Source organism: Homo sapiens, chromosome 2 (assembly GCF_000001405.40).
Source record: "Homo sapiens chromosome 2, GRCh38.p14 Primary Assembly".
Lineage (NCBI taxonomy): Eukaryota > Metazoa > Chordata > Mammalia > Primates > Hominidae > Homo > Homo sapiens.
The window spans coordinates 120,271,307-120,290,122 of record NC_000002.12 but is presented as its reverse complement, the minus strand read 5'-3'; the positions used below and the strand labels follow the sequence as shown (position 1 = coordinate 120,290,122).

General features: G+C 43.0%; 1 protein-coding gene across 12 annotated transcripts in view, besides 2 other annotated features; it reads right to left on the bottom strand.

Moving 5' to 3' along the window:
• The window catches only part of RALB (RAS like proto-oncogene B), a 54,641-nt gene that overhangs the window by 4,588 nt on the left and 31,237 nt on the right, over positions 1-18,816 (bottom strand). For 7 of the 12 annotated variants that reach the window (XM_047445359.1, XM_047445361.1, XM_047445362.1 and 4 more), the window contains 3 exons: positions 11,345-11,505; positions 4,041-4,249; positions 366-543 (listed from right to left, as the gene is read on the bottom strand). In XM_047445359.1, the coding sequence (XP_047301315.1) occupies positions 366-543; positions 4,041-4,249; positions 11,345-11,505 (548 nt within the window). Of the gene's footprint in view, positions 1-365; positions 544-4,040; positions 4,250-9,215; positions 9,289-11,344; positions 11,509-18,816 lie in introns of all 12 variants that reach the window. The other 5 variants (XM_047445357.1, XM_047445358.1, XM_047445363.1 and 2 more) reach the window with 2 other exon arrangements.
• Positions 2,414-2,583: an enhancer, noted in NCBI's record as "active region_16460". NCBI's record gives its function as "activates an Ori minimal core promoter by ATAC-STARR-seq in GM12878 lymphoblastoid cells {active_cell/tissue: GM12878}" and the evidence as "EXISTENCE:reporter gene assay evidence [ECO:0000049][PMID:35858748]".
• Positions 5,977-6,490: an enhancer, noted in NCBI's record as "OCT4-NANOG hESC enhancer chr2:121041209-121041722 (GRCh37/hg19 assembly coordinates)". NCBI's record gives its function as "activates a minimal SCP1, AML or CMV promoter by ChIP-STARR-seq in naive H9 embryonic stem cells {active_cell/tissue: H9 hESC(naive)}" and the evidence as "EXISTENCE:reporter gene assay evidence [ECO:0000049][PMID:30033119]".

The window sequence follows — 18,816 nt, the reverse complement described above, 5'->3', positions numbered from 1 at the left end:
GGAGGCTGAGGTAGGAGGATTGCTTGAGCCCAGGAGGCAGAGGTTGCAGTGAACTGAGATCACACCACTCCAGCCTGGTGTCACAGTGAGACTTTGTCTCAAAAAAGAAAAACCCAAAAGAACACATTAAGCATACTCTAATGAAGCCTCATGACAAAGTAAAAGGTTCTGTGAGTTGTCTGAAATACAAGGTGACATCCTCTCAATGTTTCTCATTATAATCATGATAATGGCTTAGACATTCATAGGAATCAGAATCTTCACCTAGTTTTCATAAATGGTTCCCTAAAACCCAGCAGATGAGATGCCTCCATTCTGCTGTTTCTCAGGTCTGTTTCTGAGAAATACACAGAATTCACGCCTACCTTGTCCACGTTGGCCCGGGTCTTCGCTGACGTCTCCACGTACTGCACGCCCCACTCTTCGGCTTTACTCCTGGCCTCCTCCACAGGCACCTGCCTCCGCTCCTCTAGGTCAGACTTGTTTCCCACGACGAGCAGTGGAATTTTATCTTCTTCAGCCTTCACACGGAGAATCTGTTCCCTAAGGTGTTACACCAAAAATACAGCAGCTAAAAAAACTAAAGAACGAACCCTGGTTTTGTGAACCCATCTAAAATAAAAGGCTTTCCTAAGGCAGAAGGAAAAAAAAAAATCACTAGATTTAGGGCATGTTCTGAGAAAGCACTCCCTAGAGGCAGTCATGAGCAAGACAAGTGTTTTCCAAGTCTGCTTCTCAGTTTGCCCACATCAGAATCCCCTGGGATGCTCATCACAAATGCAGATTTCTGGGCTCAGTCTTACAGAAGTGTCTGGATAGGAGCCCAGGATTTTACGTCACAACAGGGTCCCCAACTTATGCACACACAAAAAAAAAAACAAAAAGAAGAAAAATGGTCAATCTCTGCAATAAAAACAAGCTAAGGGAACTATCTCCATAAAATGCTTAATTCCCCTGAAAATATTTGTTTGTGACATAAAAGCTATGAAATCCAGTGTTTTCTATATGGAAGGTGGCAGCCTATTAGTGGATCACAAAACCAATCTAGTGGGTCGCAACCAGCAGTTTCTCCCCCCTGCAGTGAAATAGATTATAGAACAGAACTGACCAGATCAGAAATATCCAAGGGAATCTCAAGTAGGAAAGGTGAATATTGTATTGTTTTGAAACTTCAGTTTTGATTAGATCTGCATGTGTACACGACAAGTATGTCATCCCATCCCCAGTTTCCATGCAGACACAGTAATGTTATAGGCCACAGAATCGAGACAGATATGTTAGGCAGTAATCACATTCCAATACGTACCATTTTTCTACTACAAAGTGAAAAAAATGAAAGGAAATACGACAAGCCCTATGGAAAAGTACTTCAAAAGTGTCTTCTACAAAAATACCATTACTCGTAGCATATTAAATTTTACGTCTACTAAAAATTATCAGCTATCTGAAAGTACTAATCAAAACTAAATATTTAAAAAAATTAAATACCCCATTTCCATTATTTTGGTCCCATGAGAATATTTCTACTTTTATATGCCAATACATTCTAAAAAGAGTCCCCTTCAAAAATGTATTTTGTAGAGATCTGTATTGATTTTTATATGGTATAGGGTAACATTTCACAATAATAAAAATATTTTCTAGGCGTGGTGGCTCACATCTGTAATGCCAGCACTCTGGGAGCCTGAGGAGGGAGGAACACTTGAGCCCAGGAGTTCAAGACCAGCCTGGGCAACATAGGGAGACCTTGTATCTACAAAAAAAAAAACAAAAAAAAAAACTAAAATTTTCATGTAGTCAATTTAAGTGCCAGACATCAAATATTTTAAGACAAACTAAAAAAGATGAAAAGATGCTTGAAATTGGCTTTGTGTAGCCTTGTTATAGCCTACATTTGAACTGGGGTCAAAGAACATGATACATTTGAAGTCATGTGATCATTATAAACTATGAACAATAAAAACTGATAGCTTTCTGGCTCATTAGTCTTGCAGGGGCACACAAAATTACCTCATTGATAAACATATCGATCCAAAAATGGGAGTACCAAGTTCTGGTCTCTTATGACAGAACTTATCTTAGTTCATAAAATATTTTCCAGAAAAAGTTTCAAGGAAGACAGCATATTCACATGTCATTTTATATTGGGGCCTTTCTATTTGGAAGATAGTACACAAATGCTGTTTTAAAACTGCTAACAGACATGAAGTAAAGTGACTTGAGTTTAGCCACAGGGCTCAGATAATTGACCTGCATTCTTCTGTTCCCAACAACATGAGAAACCTACGCAGAGGTCAACTTCCCCTTCTTTCTGGTTTTAGGTATTCATCTGTCCTTTTTCTTCTAAGGATCTCTCTTTCCACCTAACAACCAAAACCCTTTTCCACATTGAGGGGAGCCCTGCTCCAACTCTGTGAGAACGCCCGAGTGCTATCTGTGCATGTGTGGTGACTGAGGAGAGGACAAGGAGCACTTGAAATACCTGTATTTCTCCATATCCTCTGCAGAGAACTCTCCTGCCCACTTCCCTTCTAAGTAAGTCACAGAACAACAGGAAATCAAAAGGCTCGGGACAGGGAAGAAAAGAAGAGAGTGTGTGCATCTGTCCTGTTTTACCCTCTATGAGGCATTAAAAACAGGACTACGCAGATGCAAACAATTATAAATACATGGGCTACATTCAAACAGAGCAGCCCTTAGGAAGGTCTGAAATGTCTAAAAATTAACAGAACTTCTCATAATGAGTCATAGTCACTTAACTAGTCACTGCACCACACGCACTCTGCTTCCAGAAAAGTAGGTCTTCGACTCTGAAGCCTGGAGCTATGAAGCATCACTGAGGCACCTCCCTATTATCTTTCACTAGCCCTGCTGGGTGACCTGTGCTCACCCGAGGCCTCCCTGGCTCAGTGATGCTTCCATCCAAGTCCTGGAAGGATAGCTAGCTTTCTCCTTTTCACCTCTGGTTGACCACCTTACTGTCAGACCAGAACTTGCTGAAGAATGAAAAAAACTGATTTGATTTTTGGGTTTTTTCTCTTCAGTTCCCTACTAAACTCTAGATCTGCTTCTTAAAAAGTCATCTAGATAGATATGTTTATAAGAAGAACAGATTTTTTAAAACTCAATTATGTAGGAGAAAGGGAAGGGCATGGGGTAAAGAGACATTTATAGAGCATAAGAATTATGCCCAAAAGGCTATTTCTTTATAACAAAATGAACTGAAGGTATTTTTTTCACTGCTATATTTTCTTTTTCTTTCTTCTCTAACACCTTCATGGAGAATAGTTGCCATATTTTAAAATAAATAACAATGGATATTCTACTCACTATGGAAGCACCATGTGTCTACACTGTGACAGGGGACAATGGAGGGTAGCCAGGTTCTTGCCCACATGAAATTCACAGTCTAATACATCCTTTCATTTCATTTCTCAACTCACAAGTGCATTTCCAGAGAAAGAAACAAAATCCTGACACTAAGTAAACTTGCCCATGGTCAGTGAGCGGCAAGGCAGGGATTCAAACCAGGTCTCCTGACTCTAAAGCCGCGTTCTCGTCCCTCCACTGTGCTGAAAGTCCTTAAGTAGCAGCAAATGGTCATTTTGACTCCCATCTTTCACTTTCCAGTCATTGTTTCATAACCTTCAACACAGACTAAACCTGCTACTTTTTTTAGTAACATTATTTAAAGGATAGATGGTTAATTTATCAATGAAAATCTCTGAGTATTTATAGGAACAAAATTATATGTTCTTGATTATATGGAATAGCTTCATTGTTTTCGGGGACAGTAAGACTCTTAAAATTATTTTATTCAGAAATCACAGATCAGGAAAGCCCAAAGAGATTATAATCATCATAGTCTATAATGTGCCAAGATTCAGAAAGCCCCAGAAGATTCTTTAGACAGAATTATTCCTGAGAACAAGCTCAGCCCTCTCCTAGTATGCTCAGCCCCAAATTCTTCATAGGCCTAAGACATATGAGAAAAGGCAAAAAGCTTCCTGGGGGCTTCTGCTATTTCATTTCAGACATACCTGAATTCGGCAGTTGCTGTAAAGGATTCATGTTCTGTGATTGAGAACACAAGAAGAAACCCTTCCCCACTCCGAAAGTAGTTATCTCGAATGGCTGCGTAGTCCTCTTGCCCAGCGGTGTCCAGAATATCTATCTGAACTTCTTCCCCATCAAGAACCACTTTCTTTCTATAACTGTCAGCTTTGGTAGGTTCATAGTCTTCTACAAACTGAGGAAATAAACATTATCGGTAATTAACAAAGTCTTAAGGGGAACAAAATCTGCCAAAAAACAAAATTCCACATATGGGCACTTCACACTATGAACAGGACACTACAGAAGCAACATTTTACGTAACACTTCTGTTCTTTATAGCTCTGTTTTGCCATTTTTTGTTTTTAAACAATACAGGCAGATATCCCAATTTACAGATGAGGAAACCAGGCACAGAGCAGAACACTTGGCAATATTATTGTCAGTATAAAATTTTAATGCAAACACCTGCAAGGGTGAGAAACTGGAATTCTTTTTTAATTATACTTTAAGTTTTAGGGTACATATGCACAATGTGCAGGTTTGTTACACATGTATACACGTGTCATGTTGGTGTGCTGCACCCATTAACTCGTCATTTAACATTAGGTATATCAAAAAACTGGAGTTCTTATTCATAACGGAAGTATAAAATTCATCTGAAAAGTAATTTGGCAAGATGTATGATATGGTCTGGTTCTGCATCCCCACCCAAATCTCATCATTTAGGTTGTAATCCGAATTATCATCCCAATGTGTTGGGGAAGTGACCTTATGGGAGACAATGAGATCATGGGGGCGGTACCCCTATGCTGTTCTTGTGATAGTGAGTTCGTTCTCACAGGACCTGATGGTTTCATAAGGGGCTTTTCCCCACTTCGCTCTGCACTTCTTCCTGGCGCCTTGTGAAGGACATGTTTGCTCCCCCTTCTGCCATGATTGTAAGTTTCCTGAGGCCTCCCCAGCCCTGTGGAAGAAAAGAGGCTATACACCTCTTTTCTTTATAAACTACCCAGTCTTGGGTATTTCTTCACAGCATCAAGAGAATGAACTAACACAGTGTACCAAGAGGCTTTCAGTGGTGTGGGTTTTTGAGAAAGGAATGAAGTAGTACCAACGCACGCTGCAACATGGAACAACTTTCAAAACATGATGCTGAGTGAAAGAAGTTAGACATAAAGGCCACATATTGTATGATTCCATCTATATGAAATGTCCAGAATAGGCAAATCCATAGAAGCAGAAAGCAGTTGCCAGAGGCCAGGGGTGGGACGGGGAAGCAATAACGGGGAATGACTACTAATACGTAGGTTGGTTTTTTTTGGAGTGATGAAAGTGATCTAAAATTAGATAATGGTGATGGTTGCACATCTGTATGAATATACAAAAAAAACCTATTAAATTGTACACTTTAGGCCGGGGCAGGCAGATCACCTGAGGTCAGGAGTTCGAGACCAGCCTGGCTAACATGGTGAAAACCCATCTCTACTAAAAATACAAAAGATTAGCCAGGTATGGTGGTGCACACCTGTAATCCCAGCTACTCAGGAGGCTGAGGCAGGAGAATCACTTGAACCTGGGAAGTGGCGCTTGCAGTGAACCAAGATCGTGCCATTGCACTCCAGCCTAGGCAACAAGAGAAAAACTACATCTCAAAAAAAAAAAATTGTACACTTTAAAAAGAGCGAATTTCATATGTGCATTACATCTTAATAAGGCTGTGATTTAAAATTTTTTTAACTTAAAAATGGAATTGAAAATGTCCAAGTGAATTAAAGGTTATTTGAGGAAGACTGTTAAAAAGAGCCTTGTATTGTCAGTTAACAGCTACTCAAAAATAAAAATATTAAGACATGTTTAGTATTAGGTTCTCTTCAACGTGTACTAATAAATTATCTCCAAATAGAGATGTGAAAACTTGCCTGTGCTTTCAAGTGTCCTTCTTTTAACTCCTTTCCAAAAAGAAAAATACACGCCAAAAAAATCCAACACACGACTGTCCCCTGAAAATCTCTGAATTCTACCATAAATTATCTCAACTGTATATTTCTGAGCTTCCAAGGATAAAGCCAGCCAGAGTTCCACTGGCTCCTTTGACACAGAAGTCAGAATGTCCTGCTGTACCTACATACCTCTGTACTCAATGAAAAGTATGCTGATTACCCCAACATTCCATTACAACCCTGATGTTTATTTACATTGCTCAGCTGGAAACAGAAAATCACAAAGTCTTTGTATCCATTAGCGTGAACCATACGTATCCCCTACTGGCCTTGCAGAGCTCTGCATGGCTCAGTTTCAGATGCCCAAGAGTCTAAGACAAACTTCACGTGGACCCTTTCTTTCTAAGCTGACTTTCCTCTAAGCTGCCAGAGACTGAAAGTCTGAAACGGTTGCTGCCAAAGCCTCTCCATCCCCAACCTTACTCTCCCAAAAAAGGCAAAAACGAGTATGTTAGGCCGAGCATAAGGAGCTTAAAATCTGACTGCTGCCACCCTGGCAGCTCCCTCCAATTTTTCTCAAAGTCAGAACTTAGACAAGAATAAAGACTCTGGGACTATGGCTCCTTCCATAATCTAATCTTCATGAAAATTCCATCACATAAGCTAAACAATTTTAAATAAGGGTTAAGCATGCACTATGAACAAAGAGTCTGAATGGTGCAGGAGACTTTAGACCAGGGGTGTCCAATCTTTCGGCTTCCCTGGGCCACATCGGAAAAACTGTCTTGGGCCACGCATAAAATACACTAACACTAACGATACCTGATGAGCTAAAAAAATATATTGCAAAAAGAATCTCTGAATGTTTTAAGAAAGTCTACAAATCTGTGTTGGGCCACATTCAAAGTCATCCTGAGCCACAGGTTGGACAAGCTTGATTTAGACAGCCGGCCTCCCTGAACACAGAGCTCAATTTCCTGACTAGATGATCTCTCAGGCAGGAGCTGCCACACCTGGCCACGCGGCAGAACCACCAGAAGAGCACCACTGAAAGAGTCCCAGTTCTCCAACTCCACCAATATTATTCAGGAGGTGTTTTTTTTTTTTAAAGTCTCCCAGGAAATTCTATAATCAGCTAGGTTTGACAATTACTGCTAAGGTCTCTTCGAGCTAAAAAATTATGATTCTAGAACCATTCTGTCCAATATAGTAGCCACCAGCCACATTTCAAATGCACAATAGCCACTTGTATTGGACAGTATAGATACAGAACATTTTCATCATCATGGAAGTTTCTATTAGCACCGTTTTAGAAAATCGATTAGAACTCCTCCCCCAAACATACATCACTTCATTTCTATTCCTTCCTTGCCCCAATTTTATTTTACAATTTCTTCAATAACTGCCACTTTCCAGTTCTCAAGTATGTTAGCCCATGAGAAAAACAGACTAAGGCCAGGCACAGCTTTCCCTGGTCTCTGTGAAGAGAACAGAAAGAAGAGAAAAAACTCTCGAATCTTCTGCATGCATCTGCCCCCTCCTCTTACCCACCCCCGCCCCCCTCCCCAACACACACACACCCAGAAACCTCCAGACCAGGCTCTCCTAGTCTCCTCAGCAGTGCTAGCTCTGTTATCTTTTTTTTTTTGAGATGGAGTTTCGCTCTTGTTCCCCAGGCTGGAATGCAATGGTGCGATCTTGGCTCACTGCAACCTCCATCTCCCAGGTTCAAGCGATTCTCCTGCCTCAGCCTCCCAAGTAGCTGGGATTACAGGTATGCACCACCACACCAGGCTAATTTTGTAATTTTAGTAGAGATGGGTTTTCTCCATGTTGGTCAGGCTGGTCTTGAACTCCTGACCTCAGGTGATCTGCCCGCCTCGGCCTCCCAAAGTGCTGAGATTACAGGCGTGAGCCACCGCGCCCGGCCCCAGCTCTGTATCTGAACTTGCTCTTGGAACTGGCAACCCAGGGCCTCTCAATCACTAACACTGTAGGGGAATCTTCTCTCCTTGGATCTGCCACGGCTCTGCCTCTAATGCAGGTTTCTCAACAGTGGCATTGTGGATATTTTGTGCTGGCTAATACTTTGTTCGGGGCTGTCCTGTGTGATGTAGGATGCTGAGTGCGTCCTTGGCCTCCACGCACTAGATGCTGGTAGCATCTTCCCCCAAGCTGTGATGGCCAAAAATGTCTCCAGGCACTTACGAATATTCCCTGGGGAAGCAAAATCCCCCTCTCTCACCTCTGTTAACAACTACTTCCCTAATCCTATCTCCCTAATCCTAATTCCCCTACTCACCACCCCCTCTCTTCCCCAACCTCTGTTATAGGGGAGAAAAAAGCTTTCGTAAGCAAATTATAAGTTTTTGAGCAAAAACAAACAAAAGACCTACAAAGCAGATGCAGATCTCCCAACCTGCTTCTCTTATGCAAAAACGTTTTGGGGAAATTCAGCAGATTACATTAGATTTATCCAGTTTGACCCCCCAGAATAAGATAAAGAAAAGCAGGTACCAAACACAAAAGTGTCTCATTATAAGACATGGGGAGCATGACCCAGGAGGATAACCAGGTTTGGGTTTGAAGCTTATTCATTATGGGGGCCCTTCCTTAAGATACAAAATTACACACGTAATACTGGACATTAAAGTAAATGTTGACATTGAATGAGAAATCATAATCCATTATAAAGTTTTAAAGATGAGTACTCCAGCGATCTCACCCCCGGGTGACTCTCAGTGAGGCGAAGGGAATACCCCCATGTTTCCATTTCATTTTATAAGACCGTCTAGGCTGGCTGGAGACTGTCCTGCCGGCCTTGGAGAAGCAAGCCACTGTGGTATGAGCTGCCTATGGAGACGGCACATGGCAGGGGCCTGCGGGCAACTTGTAGAATCCGAGCACCTGTGTCCTACACCCACAAGGAACTAAATTCTACCAACAATTAGGGAGCCTGGAAGAGGACCCCCACGCCTCAGAAGAGGTCACAGCCCCAGCTGACACCTTGAGTGGAGTCTTGTGGGACTCTGAGCAGAGGACTCAGCTGAGGCTCCAATTCTGGACCCATGGAAACTATGGAATGACAAATGTATGTTGTTTTAACCTGCTAACTTTGTGATTATTATACAGTAATAAAAAAAACTAATACAAACAGCACTGACATCACAAAATCCAGCAAAATAACAATATTTTTATTAATTAAACTGCCTGACATACCTCTAGAATACCTTCTACTTTTTTGTTTGCTGTATACTTTTTCTTGTCATATGCCAATGATTTTGAAACATTCCTATAGAGAATAAAAAATAATTTAGTCTTTCCTTTAGCATGGTTAATGAAAATGTCTTTTGTTCTGACAGCTTAGAAGAGGTTCTTTCAGCTTCACAACTACATGAGTTTTTTTTTTTTTCTTTTTACTTTAAGTTCTGGGATACATGTGCAGAACATGCAGGTTATGTAGGTATACATGTGCCATGGTGGTTTGCTGCACCTATCGACCCATCATCTAGGTTTTAAGCCCCACATGCATTAGGTATTTGTCCTAATGCTCTCCCTCCCCTTGCCCCCCGCCCCCCAAAAGGCCCCAGCATGTGATGTTCCCCTCCCTGTGTCCATGCGTTCTCATTGTTCAACTCCCACTTATGAGTGAGAATATGTGGTGTCTGGTTTTCTGTTCCTGTGTTTGCTGAGAGTGATGGTTTCCAGCTTCATCGATGTCCCTGCAAAGGACATGAACTCATTCTTTTTTATGGCTGCATAGTATTCCATGGTGTATATGTGCCACATTTTCTTTATCCAGTCTATCTTTGATGGGCATTTGGGTTGGTTCCATGTCTTTGCTATTGTAAATAGTGCTGCAATAAACATACATGTGCATGTGACTACATGGCATTTCTAGTAATGAAAGTTTTGGGATTACTGCCAAATTTAGGAAACCTCTATTGAGCTTCACTGTACAAGCTGTAAGATCTGAAAGACTTTTCTGGCCCAGTTTCTAGCTTCTAGCTCTCACACACTTGTGTCAGGTGCCACAGGACAGGTTCGCATCAGGATCCACCCCTGGCCCTGCACCTCACATCACGATGTTCGCACGTCAGCACAGTGGGCGGTTGGAGTACTCCTGCAGCCAGCGATAATCGCCACATGCCGCGTGACTCCAAACCACACCAACACATACCACTATTCCCACCTAACCCAGCCCAACACAAACTCCCTCAGCTAGAGGCCGAAAATGCCCATGGCCACTCCAGCTGCACCCAGCATAAGAGGAAGCAGGACAATGGGAAAGTCTAGTGAAAAGAGGTAGTGATCTTAACTGACGTGGTTGTGATAGCTTTCTTTCGCAAATCTCATAAAGCCATGTGGCCGCAATGCAAGTGAGAGGCCCTGAGGTTTAAGCTCTGCTCGGAACACTCTCCCTGCCTGTACTACAGTCATCCCTCGGTATCCCTAGAGAAATGGTTCCATGACCCCCACCAAATACCAAAATCTGCAGATGCTCAAGTCCTTTACTTAAAATGGCACAGCATTTACATGTAACATCCTCCCGTACACTTTAAATCATCTCTAGATTACTTATAATACATAATACAATGTAAAGGCTACGCAAACAGTTGTTACATTGCATGTTTTAATTTGTATTGTTTTTATCATTGCATTGTTATTTTTCATTGGGTTTTTTTCCCGAATATTTTCATTCCGCAACGTTTCATTCTACATTGCTTGAATCTGCAGATGTAGAGCCCACAGTAGGCTAAGTATCCTAGCAAACAGCTCAAGCAGGGACTTTTGTAGCTCCGGGGATCAAGGCTGTGTTGTCACACTGAACTCAACACCAGTGATGTTATCCACATTAAGTAGGTGACGTAAATTTTGGGCAAGGATAGTGCAAGCTTTACCTTGCCGCACGGGAGAACTGGATCTGATGTCTATCACTTGCGAAAGGATTAAGTTGTATGACAGCTCAGCTCCCCTTTCACTCTCTTTCACTTCGCGATTGACTGACAATCACAAGGCTAAATGCTTGTGTTGTTTGGAAAATCTGTACAAAGGCTCCTCTCTCCTCCCCTGGGCTTTTGTCAGAAAGAAAGCTCGAAGTATAACAATGGAAACGATGCAAGCAGAGATCTCTCACATCCCCGCCGGAGTTGAAATTATTTACCTAGAATCAGCAATCCAGATCTTATGCTGATTAGACCTTCCTAGGAAGCTATTCAGAAGCCACCTCAACACAGACTTGCTCCGTGAACCCCTGTGTACGGGAGGACCGGCACAGAAACAGCGGGAGCAGGGACACTGCTACGGCCAATGCCAAAGGAAGGTGGTCTGTGCCTAGCAGGGCTTACCTCGTCATACATGAACTGAAGCGTCAGGGCTGACTTGCCAACGCCTCCGCTGCCAACCATGATCACCTTGTGGAGGGCCAAGGAGCTCTGGCCCTTACTCTTGTTGGCAGCCATCTCGCTGGTCTTCTGAGGCTGTGACACACAGATGACCCACTGAAGAGCTGCTGATGACAAAGACAAAGACTTAGAGGCGATTTGCTTTCAACCTAGCTAAAACCAAATGTCATTCACATCCTCCATTAAAGCCTAACTAACCCAGACATTCCAACAGGAAAGTAATCCTTTCAGGCTCAGGGCAGACATGCGAGCCCTCCAACAACTCTGGAAGTCACTTACCCCAGCACAGCTGGGGCGAAGCCAAGGCTAGAGGGGAGAAACAGGAGCGCACACCCCACGCCCGCCTCACTGGGCAGGGTGGAGAGGACACCCAGTCACCAAAAATCATCAGACCCTCAGCAGGGCCTCACTGAGGCAGAGACCAAACCGCTCGTAGCTCCAGTTTCCTACCTCTCTGCTCGGTTCTCGGCTGCCGCGGAGAACAGCTTGGGACCTCAATCCCCAGCTCTTTAGCTTTACTCCTCGCTTTGCCCTCTTACCCTCTACCCCACAACACGCACACACTCACAACACGCTCACACACGCTCTCACATTCACACTCACAAACGGTCACTAACACACTCACACATGCCCACATTCACACACATGCTCACACTCACACACGCTCACATTCACACACACTCACGCTCTCACATTCACATTCACACATGCTCACACACTCGCACACACATTCACACATGCTCTTATTCACACACATTCACTCACATTCACACATTCACACTCGCTCACACACGCTCACATTAACTCACATTCACACACACGCTCACACTCATTTTCACACTCATGTTCTCACATTCACACATGCTCATGTTCTCACATTCAAACACACATATTCACACACTTGCTCTCACACGCTCTCACACACTATCACAGGCTCACACATGCTAGCACACGCTGTCATACATGCTCACATTCACACACAAGCTCACACACTATCACACACGCACTATCACACACACCCACATACACACTTTCACTCATAACACGTTCACAACGCTCTCACAACACTTTCAAATTTGTGCTCATGTACACTCACAAGCTCACATGCTCTCACAACACACACTCCATACACTATCACACACTTGTCCTCTCATAGGTGCACTCACGCTTTCACACACACACACAACTACACACTCACATACGCTCTAACGTTCACATGCTCATACCACACATACATGTTCATGCTCACACCACATACATGCTCTAACACATGCTCATATCACAGGCTCAGAGGCTCTAACATGCACATGCGTGTTCACATGCTCTCACACATACATGTTCACGCCACCACACACATGCTCTCACACACATGTTCACATGCTCACACCACACACAATCTCACATGCTGTAACACGTTCACAGAACACACACGCTCTCGCACATGCTCCCATGCACTCTTATGCTCTCATACACTTTCTCACACACACATATGCTCTCACACTCTTACACAGCCCCACACATCCCTCTGGTTGATTAAAGAAGTGAGTTCAAGAACAAATACCCCTTCATGACATGAGAGTTAAAAGGAGAAATCTCAAAATCAATTTGCCCTAATCAGAAGGAAGATAAAATGAGTAGAGCAACTCCAGTATTATGGGACAACAAAGCATCCCAAGTAAGTATATTTAACAGGGACCTGGAATCTACCGTAACCCAAGTGCCAATCTTTATTTTAACCAATTTGTATGGAAAAATCTATTTCACATATACCAAAACACAAGAATAAAGGGCAGGGCTTGGGCATCTGGCAGGCATGAGTGTGGTTCTGCCATTTGTGAGCTGCGTGACCCTAGAACTAGTTCAATGTCTCCAAGCCAGTTTTCTTATGTGCATAAAACCAACCACCACCTACCTTGCAGGAATGTTCTGAGGACTAAATAGGATATACATGGAAAACACCAAGGCACAGACCCAGCACCCAGTAGGAATGAACCAATGTTGTTTTCCATCCCATCTAATTGTAAGAGTGATACAGGAGGTAGAAAGAGACCATTTAGGCAGATAGTGAGGGCAAAGAGTCCTCGGCAGAACTTCCTCCTTTTTTTTTTTTCTTTTTTTTGAGACAGAGTCTCACTGTGTCACCCAGGCTGGAGTGCAATGGAACGATCTCGGCTCACTGCAACCTCTGCCTCCTGGATTCAAGTGATTCTCCTGCCTCAGCCTCCTGAGTAGCTGGGAATACAGGCACGCACCACCCTGCCTAGTTAATTTTTGTATTTTTAGTAGAGATGGGGTTTCACCATGTTGGCCAGGCTGGTCTCAAACTCCTGATCTCAAGTGATCCACCCCCTGCTCAGCCTCCCAAAATGCTGGGACTACAGGTGTGAGCCACTGCACCTGGCCAGAACTTCCCTTCTAACAAAACACAGCCCAAGAAATCAATTATTTTCTAAAAAAGAGCAGCCTGGAAGATCAGGTTACAAACATAGATAAGGAAGCCGGAGGCTTGCACAGCTGCATGCCAGCGGCTGCACCAATAGAAGGGCTACCTGGGGCCAGGCAGGTCCACCATGGTGGTTCCACCTCCCCCATTTTTAGCACATGTGCAATAGGAAAGAAATAAGCAACATAGAGTAGCTCAGGCTGAGGACTCGCCTGCATAATAAAAGACTGTGGTGGGTGCTGCCAGAGAGTCATGCCTTATGCAGATGGCACACTTGGTCCTAACTGGTTTTCCACACCCTATGTAGATCAGATACTGCCTCCCCACTAGCACATCTGTAAAAACCCCTGCATTTCACTGCAGGATGGCAACCCTTTTTCCAGGACTACTCTCTGTGGCAGAGAACCGTTCTCTTTCTTTCTCCTATTCAATTTCTGCTCTAAACCTCACCCTTGGTGTGTCTGCATCCTTGATTTCCTTGGCCATGAGACCAAGAACTCTGGATGTCACTCCAGACAACGAGGCCACTTTACGAGAGTGTTCATTCTAACTACAACATGGTGGACTCCTATTTCCCTTACTGCTGACGAGATAGCCTGAAAACATCCCCACTAGAAAAATAAACACACACAACACACACACACATCACTGGGCGAAATAAAACAACATCATCTTAAATCAGTGGTTCCCATTCTTAGCTATACAACAGAATCATGCAGGGAGCTTCAGAAACATCCTTACACCTGGGTCCCACCCTAGATTCTGAAATAATTGGTCTGAGATGCAACCTGGGCATGGGAAATTCTAAAAGATTCCCAGGTGATCCTCATGAGCAGCCAAGGCTTAGAATTGCTCTTAAATGCACAGCTGAGCTCAAAAGAAAGTAAGGATCCCCAAACAGGAGAGAATCAGAGCAGTAAGAGCGGCAGTTCCTGCAGTTCTGGATGGTTGCTGTTCTTGGTAATTTAGGATTTAACGTACATGTGCATGTGTGCGCATGCACACACACACATTCACATGGCTGGGAGACCAGACATACACACAAGGTAGCAGTTAGAATTGAGACACCTTTTCAATTGGGAACTGAGAAGTCAAGACCCTTGAAGGAGCACACCATCTGTGCGCCAACAGAGGAAAATGACAAGGAAGCTTGTCTGGGCTCTGGCTGTAGGGAATTCTCCCCTGAAAACCTATACCCACAACACTCCTCTAAAGCCAATAAAGTAACATGAAAAGTGGTCCCAGGCTGCTCATAGTGCTGGAGGCCCAGGCAATGCTAAACGAAACCTCTCTGGGGGAACAAGGGGCAATGAGTGTTCGGGAGTCTCACAGCTAAAGCCTAAAATTCCAGCTCACAAAACACAAGCAAATCGCAATTCATGAGAGTCAATGGCAGTAACAAGCAGGACTCTTCAGGCAAATATTATAAAAAGTATTAGTTGATCAATTTTAACAAAGACAAAGGCAAAATGTGAAAAAAATGACATCATTGAAAGACCTGATGGAGTTGAAAAAGAACCATTCTGAATGCTTAAAATACTTTTTAAGTATTTTAAAAGTAACGATGCTCATAGCAAATTTACAGAATACACATAAAAAGCACCTATGATCCTACCACCCAGAGATACTCACTATTAACTGTGTATACCAGAATTTTATCTATACCTTCCTATATTTAAAACCTGTTTGAGGCCATTATTTATGTAGTGTTGCAAGTTACTTTTCATGTATTAGATTTCTCTGTCTTCTGAAACAGCACAGACTGAACATAACCAAGCTTTCTCTTGACGACCTCAGGGCACTCATCAGTTTGTGAAAGGCCTTGGCTGCCAGGAGTCCAGATCACATTTGCTCTTCTCCCCCCTACTCTTGACCGCCTGCCTACACCAGGCGTTCTTTCCACTCCCCCTTTGCAAATTACGTACTTTTTTTTTTTAAATAAGTGAGCTAAGCAAGTAACTAGATAAGTAAGCACATCTGAAATGTGGCTAAAATAGAATAAATGGAATAAGAGGCAGACCTCCCCAAAAGGCTTGAGTTTAGGAAGGTGAAACTACTTCTGGCCTCATTTCTGGTCCACACTGTTTCCTACAGAGCTGAGGTTTGTGAATGAGGTTGGAACCTCCAGACCATCAACCTGTCACACAATTTCTCTGAATCAATCCTGGTTCTATGAATTATTATGGCTGTCTGAAAAGGATATTTTTCCAGGTTGGGGGGGATCCTTGCAAACACGTGTAGTTATCTAATTCTGAACTGCTGTTTTCAAAAACAAGTCAATTTCTCTAGAAGAAATAATAAATGAATTGAAAACTATTCAACACACCCCGATACTTCCCAAAATATCTGTGCTTAAAGTTCAAAAACTGAAATAACCATGGTGGATATTTCCAGCCTGTATCACTGCTTCAGTCAACTTGGCATAATTAAGGGAAAGAACAGGGAAGGTAGAGGTGCTGACCACATGCCCCTCACTGAACCAATCCTAGAAACAGCAACCTCCAGACTTTGGGTGAAACTGCCTTTGCAAAGATTCTGACAGTGAAAGAAGCTGAACGTGCTGACTCCATCTTGCCTCTGGTCTTACAGGTCGGCGTCTTCTCTTATTCCTGGGCATAGGCCACACCAACCCTGAGAGGAATTTCTAGTTTAACAAGGATAATAATAGTCCCTCCCTAAAATTGATCCTTTCCTTGTTCAGGGACTGAAACGGCCTTTATAAAACTAGTAAAAGGCCAGGAGATTAGAATTATGGGAGGGGCCTGAGTTCTGCTAAAATATAGGCCTCCTTCCTATAATCCCTTACTGCTCAGGAGTCATGTGGTCAGAGGTCACAAGATGTGGACTACCCCAGTTGCTCCTATAGATAACATCAGTATTGCAGAACCTAAGATTGGTCTTTTGAGATGTTTTTCAGACTGACCCCACATGGACTTATGACTCAACCAGTCCTGTGGTTCCTCGCCACCATCCAGAGGTGAACTCAAGGGCACAAGCACCATTTTCTACACCCCTATAGTTGCATCCCCAACCAACCAGCAGCACCCATTCCCTAACCCCCTGCCTACCAAAACATCCTTGAAAAACTCTAAACTCTGAGCCTTTAGGGAGACTGATTTGACTGATAATTCCAGTTCTCCCATGTGGCCAGCCTCGAGTCCACTGAACTCTCTTTACTGCAATACCATGGTCTCAGTGAATTGGTTTTGTCTGTGCAGTGGGCAGGAAGACCCAACGGGCGATGACACAGGGTATTAGAGATAAGAAACTTCTAACTGTTTAAGCCACAAAGAGTCCACTGTTGTGTTTGTTTTTTCTTGTACCAAAAACATTCCAGAACACAGTCTTTGCCCTCAAAAAACTCAAAGACTAGTGGTTCAGACAGATTAGTAAGTAAATGATTACAGTACAAGATAATAAATTCTATGGCAGAAGTATGCAAGTGGTGCCCTGGGAACACAGAAAGACATATCTGTATCAGGCTGGAAGGTCAGGGGAAATTTCCTGGAGGGACATCGCATGAACTAAGAGCTGAAGGAACTGACTAGATAAAGACAGGAGGAGAAAGAGCAGGAAGGAAAAAAAAATCAGTTAAGTTTAGGAAGCTCACGTTAATGATTTAATACCTATAATGGAAATGCCTAGCCAATAAATGTGTTCTTAAAAAAATACAGGTATCTTCCCCAACATTTTATCCCAAAAAGTTTCAAACACTAAGAAAAGTTGAAACAACCATCCTGTGAATCCATACACTCACTGCCTGGACTTTACAATCAACATTTTGCTCCATTTGCTTTATCACAAATCCATTCATCTGTCGTCCCTCTCTCTACCCATCAGTGCACCTCATTTTCCGATATATTTCAGTGTAAATTGCAGGTATCCGTATACTTTGTCCCTAACATGAAGCACAGACATTCATTTTCCCCAAAGCAATTAGACTTCCCCCACTGAATTCACTAACAATTTCAGAACTACATCTGTGGGGCGGGGACCACTTGCAAACCATAAGATCATAAGGGTAGGGCCCTGATCCTATTCAATGGGTGCACTTATAAGAGAAGGAAGAGAGACCTGGGCTCTTTCCACCATGTGAGGACACACTGAGAAGGCAGCTCAGGTATCTCTTCCTCTTCTTATAAGGCAGGAAGGGAGCCCTCACCAGAACCCAACCATGCTGGTGCCCTGTCTCAGACTTCCAGCCTCAGAACTGTGGGAAAATAAATTCCTGTTGTTTAAGCCACCCAGTCTATGGTATTTTGTTATGGCAGCCTGAGTTAAGATGGCACCCTTCAACATGTTTCTATCTACTCACCCAAAAGCTCTGTTGTTTGACTGAAGTTTGTTCAAAAAACATTTGGGCTCTACTTTGTGCCAAGTTTTGGGTTTCTCCCCTTAGAAAATTCAGTCTTCCCAATGAAAGACTTCTATAAATAAAGCATTTTAATGTAATTTCTCACATGCAAAGATAAAGATGGTACAAGATATAATGGAAAGCATAATGAACTCCAGGAAAAGGGAATCAGGGAGGCTCCAAAGGTTAATAATAGTCCATTCAGCAGATGGGAGTGAGAACATATTCCAGCTTAACACACAGCATGTGCAAAGCAACAAAGGCATGAAACATCACAGTGGGTTCAGGAGTCACATAATATTGAAGCATAAGGTATGGGATGGGGAAGTGCCTGGGTAATGAGTCTCCAAAGATAGCTCTGTCTATAAATGGGCCTAAAGTGCCATCTTAAGAAACTTTGATTCTAGAGAAAACAGGGAGTCATTGCTAGGCGGGTCCTCCAGCCCATCTTAGCTTGTAAGGCACTGAATCAACAAGGATACAGAATAACAAGACACTCCAAACTAAGGATGTCCACTTAGATGACTTGTCGGGAAAGTGGGGCAAGAGCACTGGGAAATGGTTTTTCTATGTAATGTTATATGAAACACTAATATTAGATAGGGCTCTCTACCACTT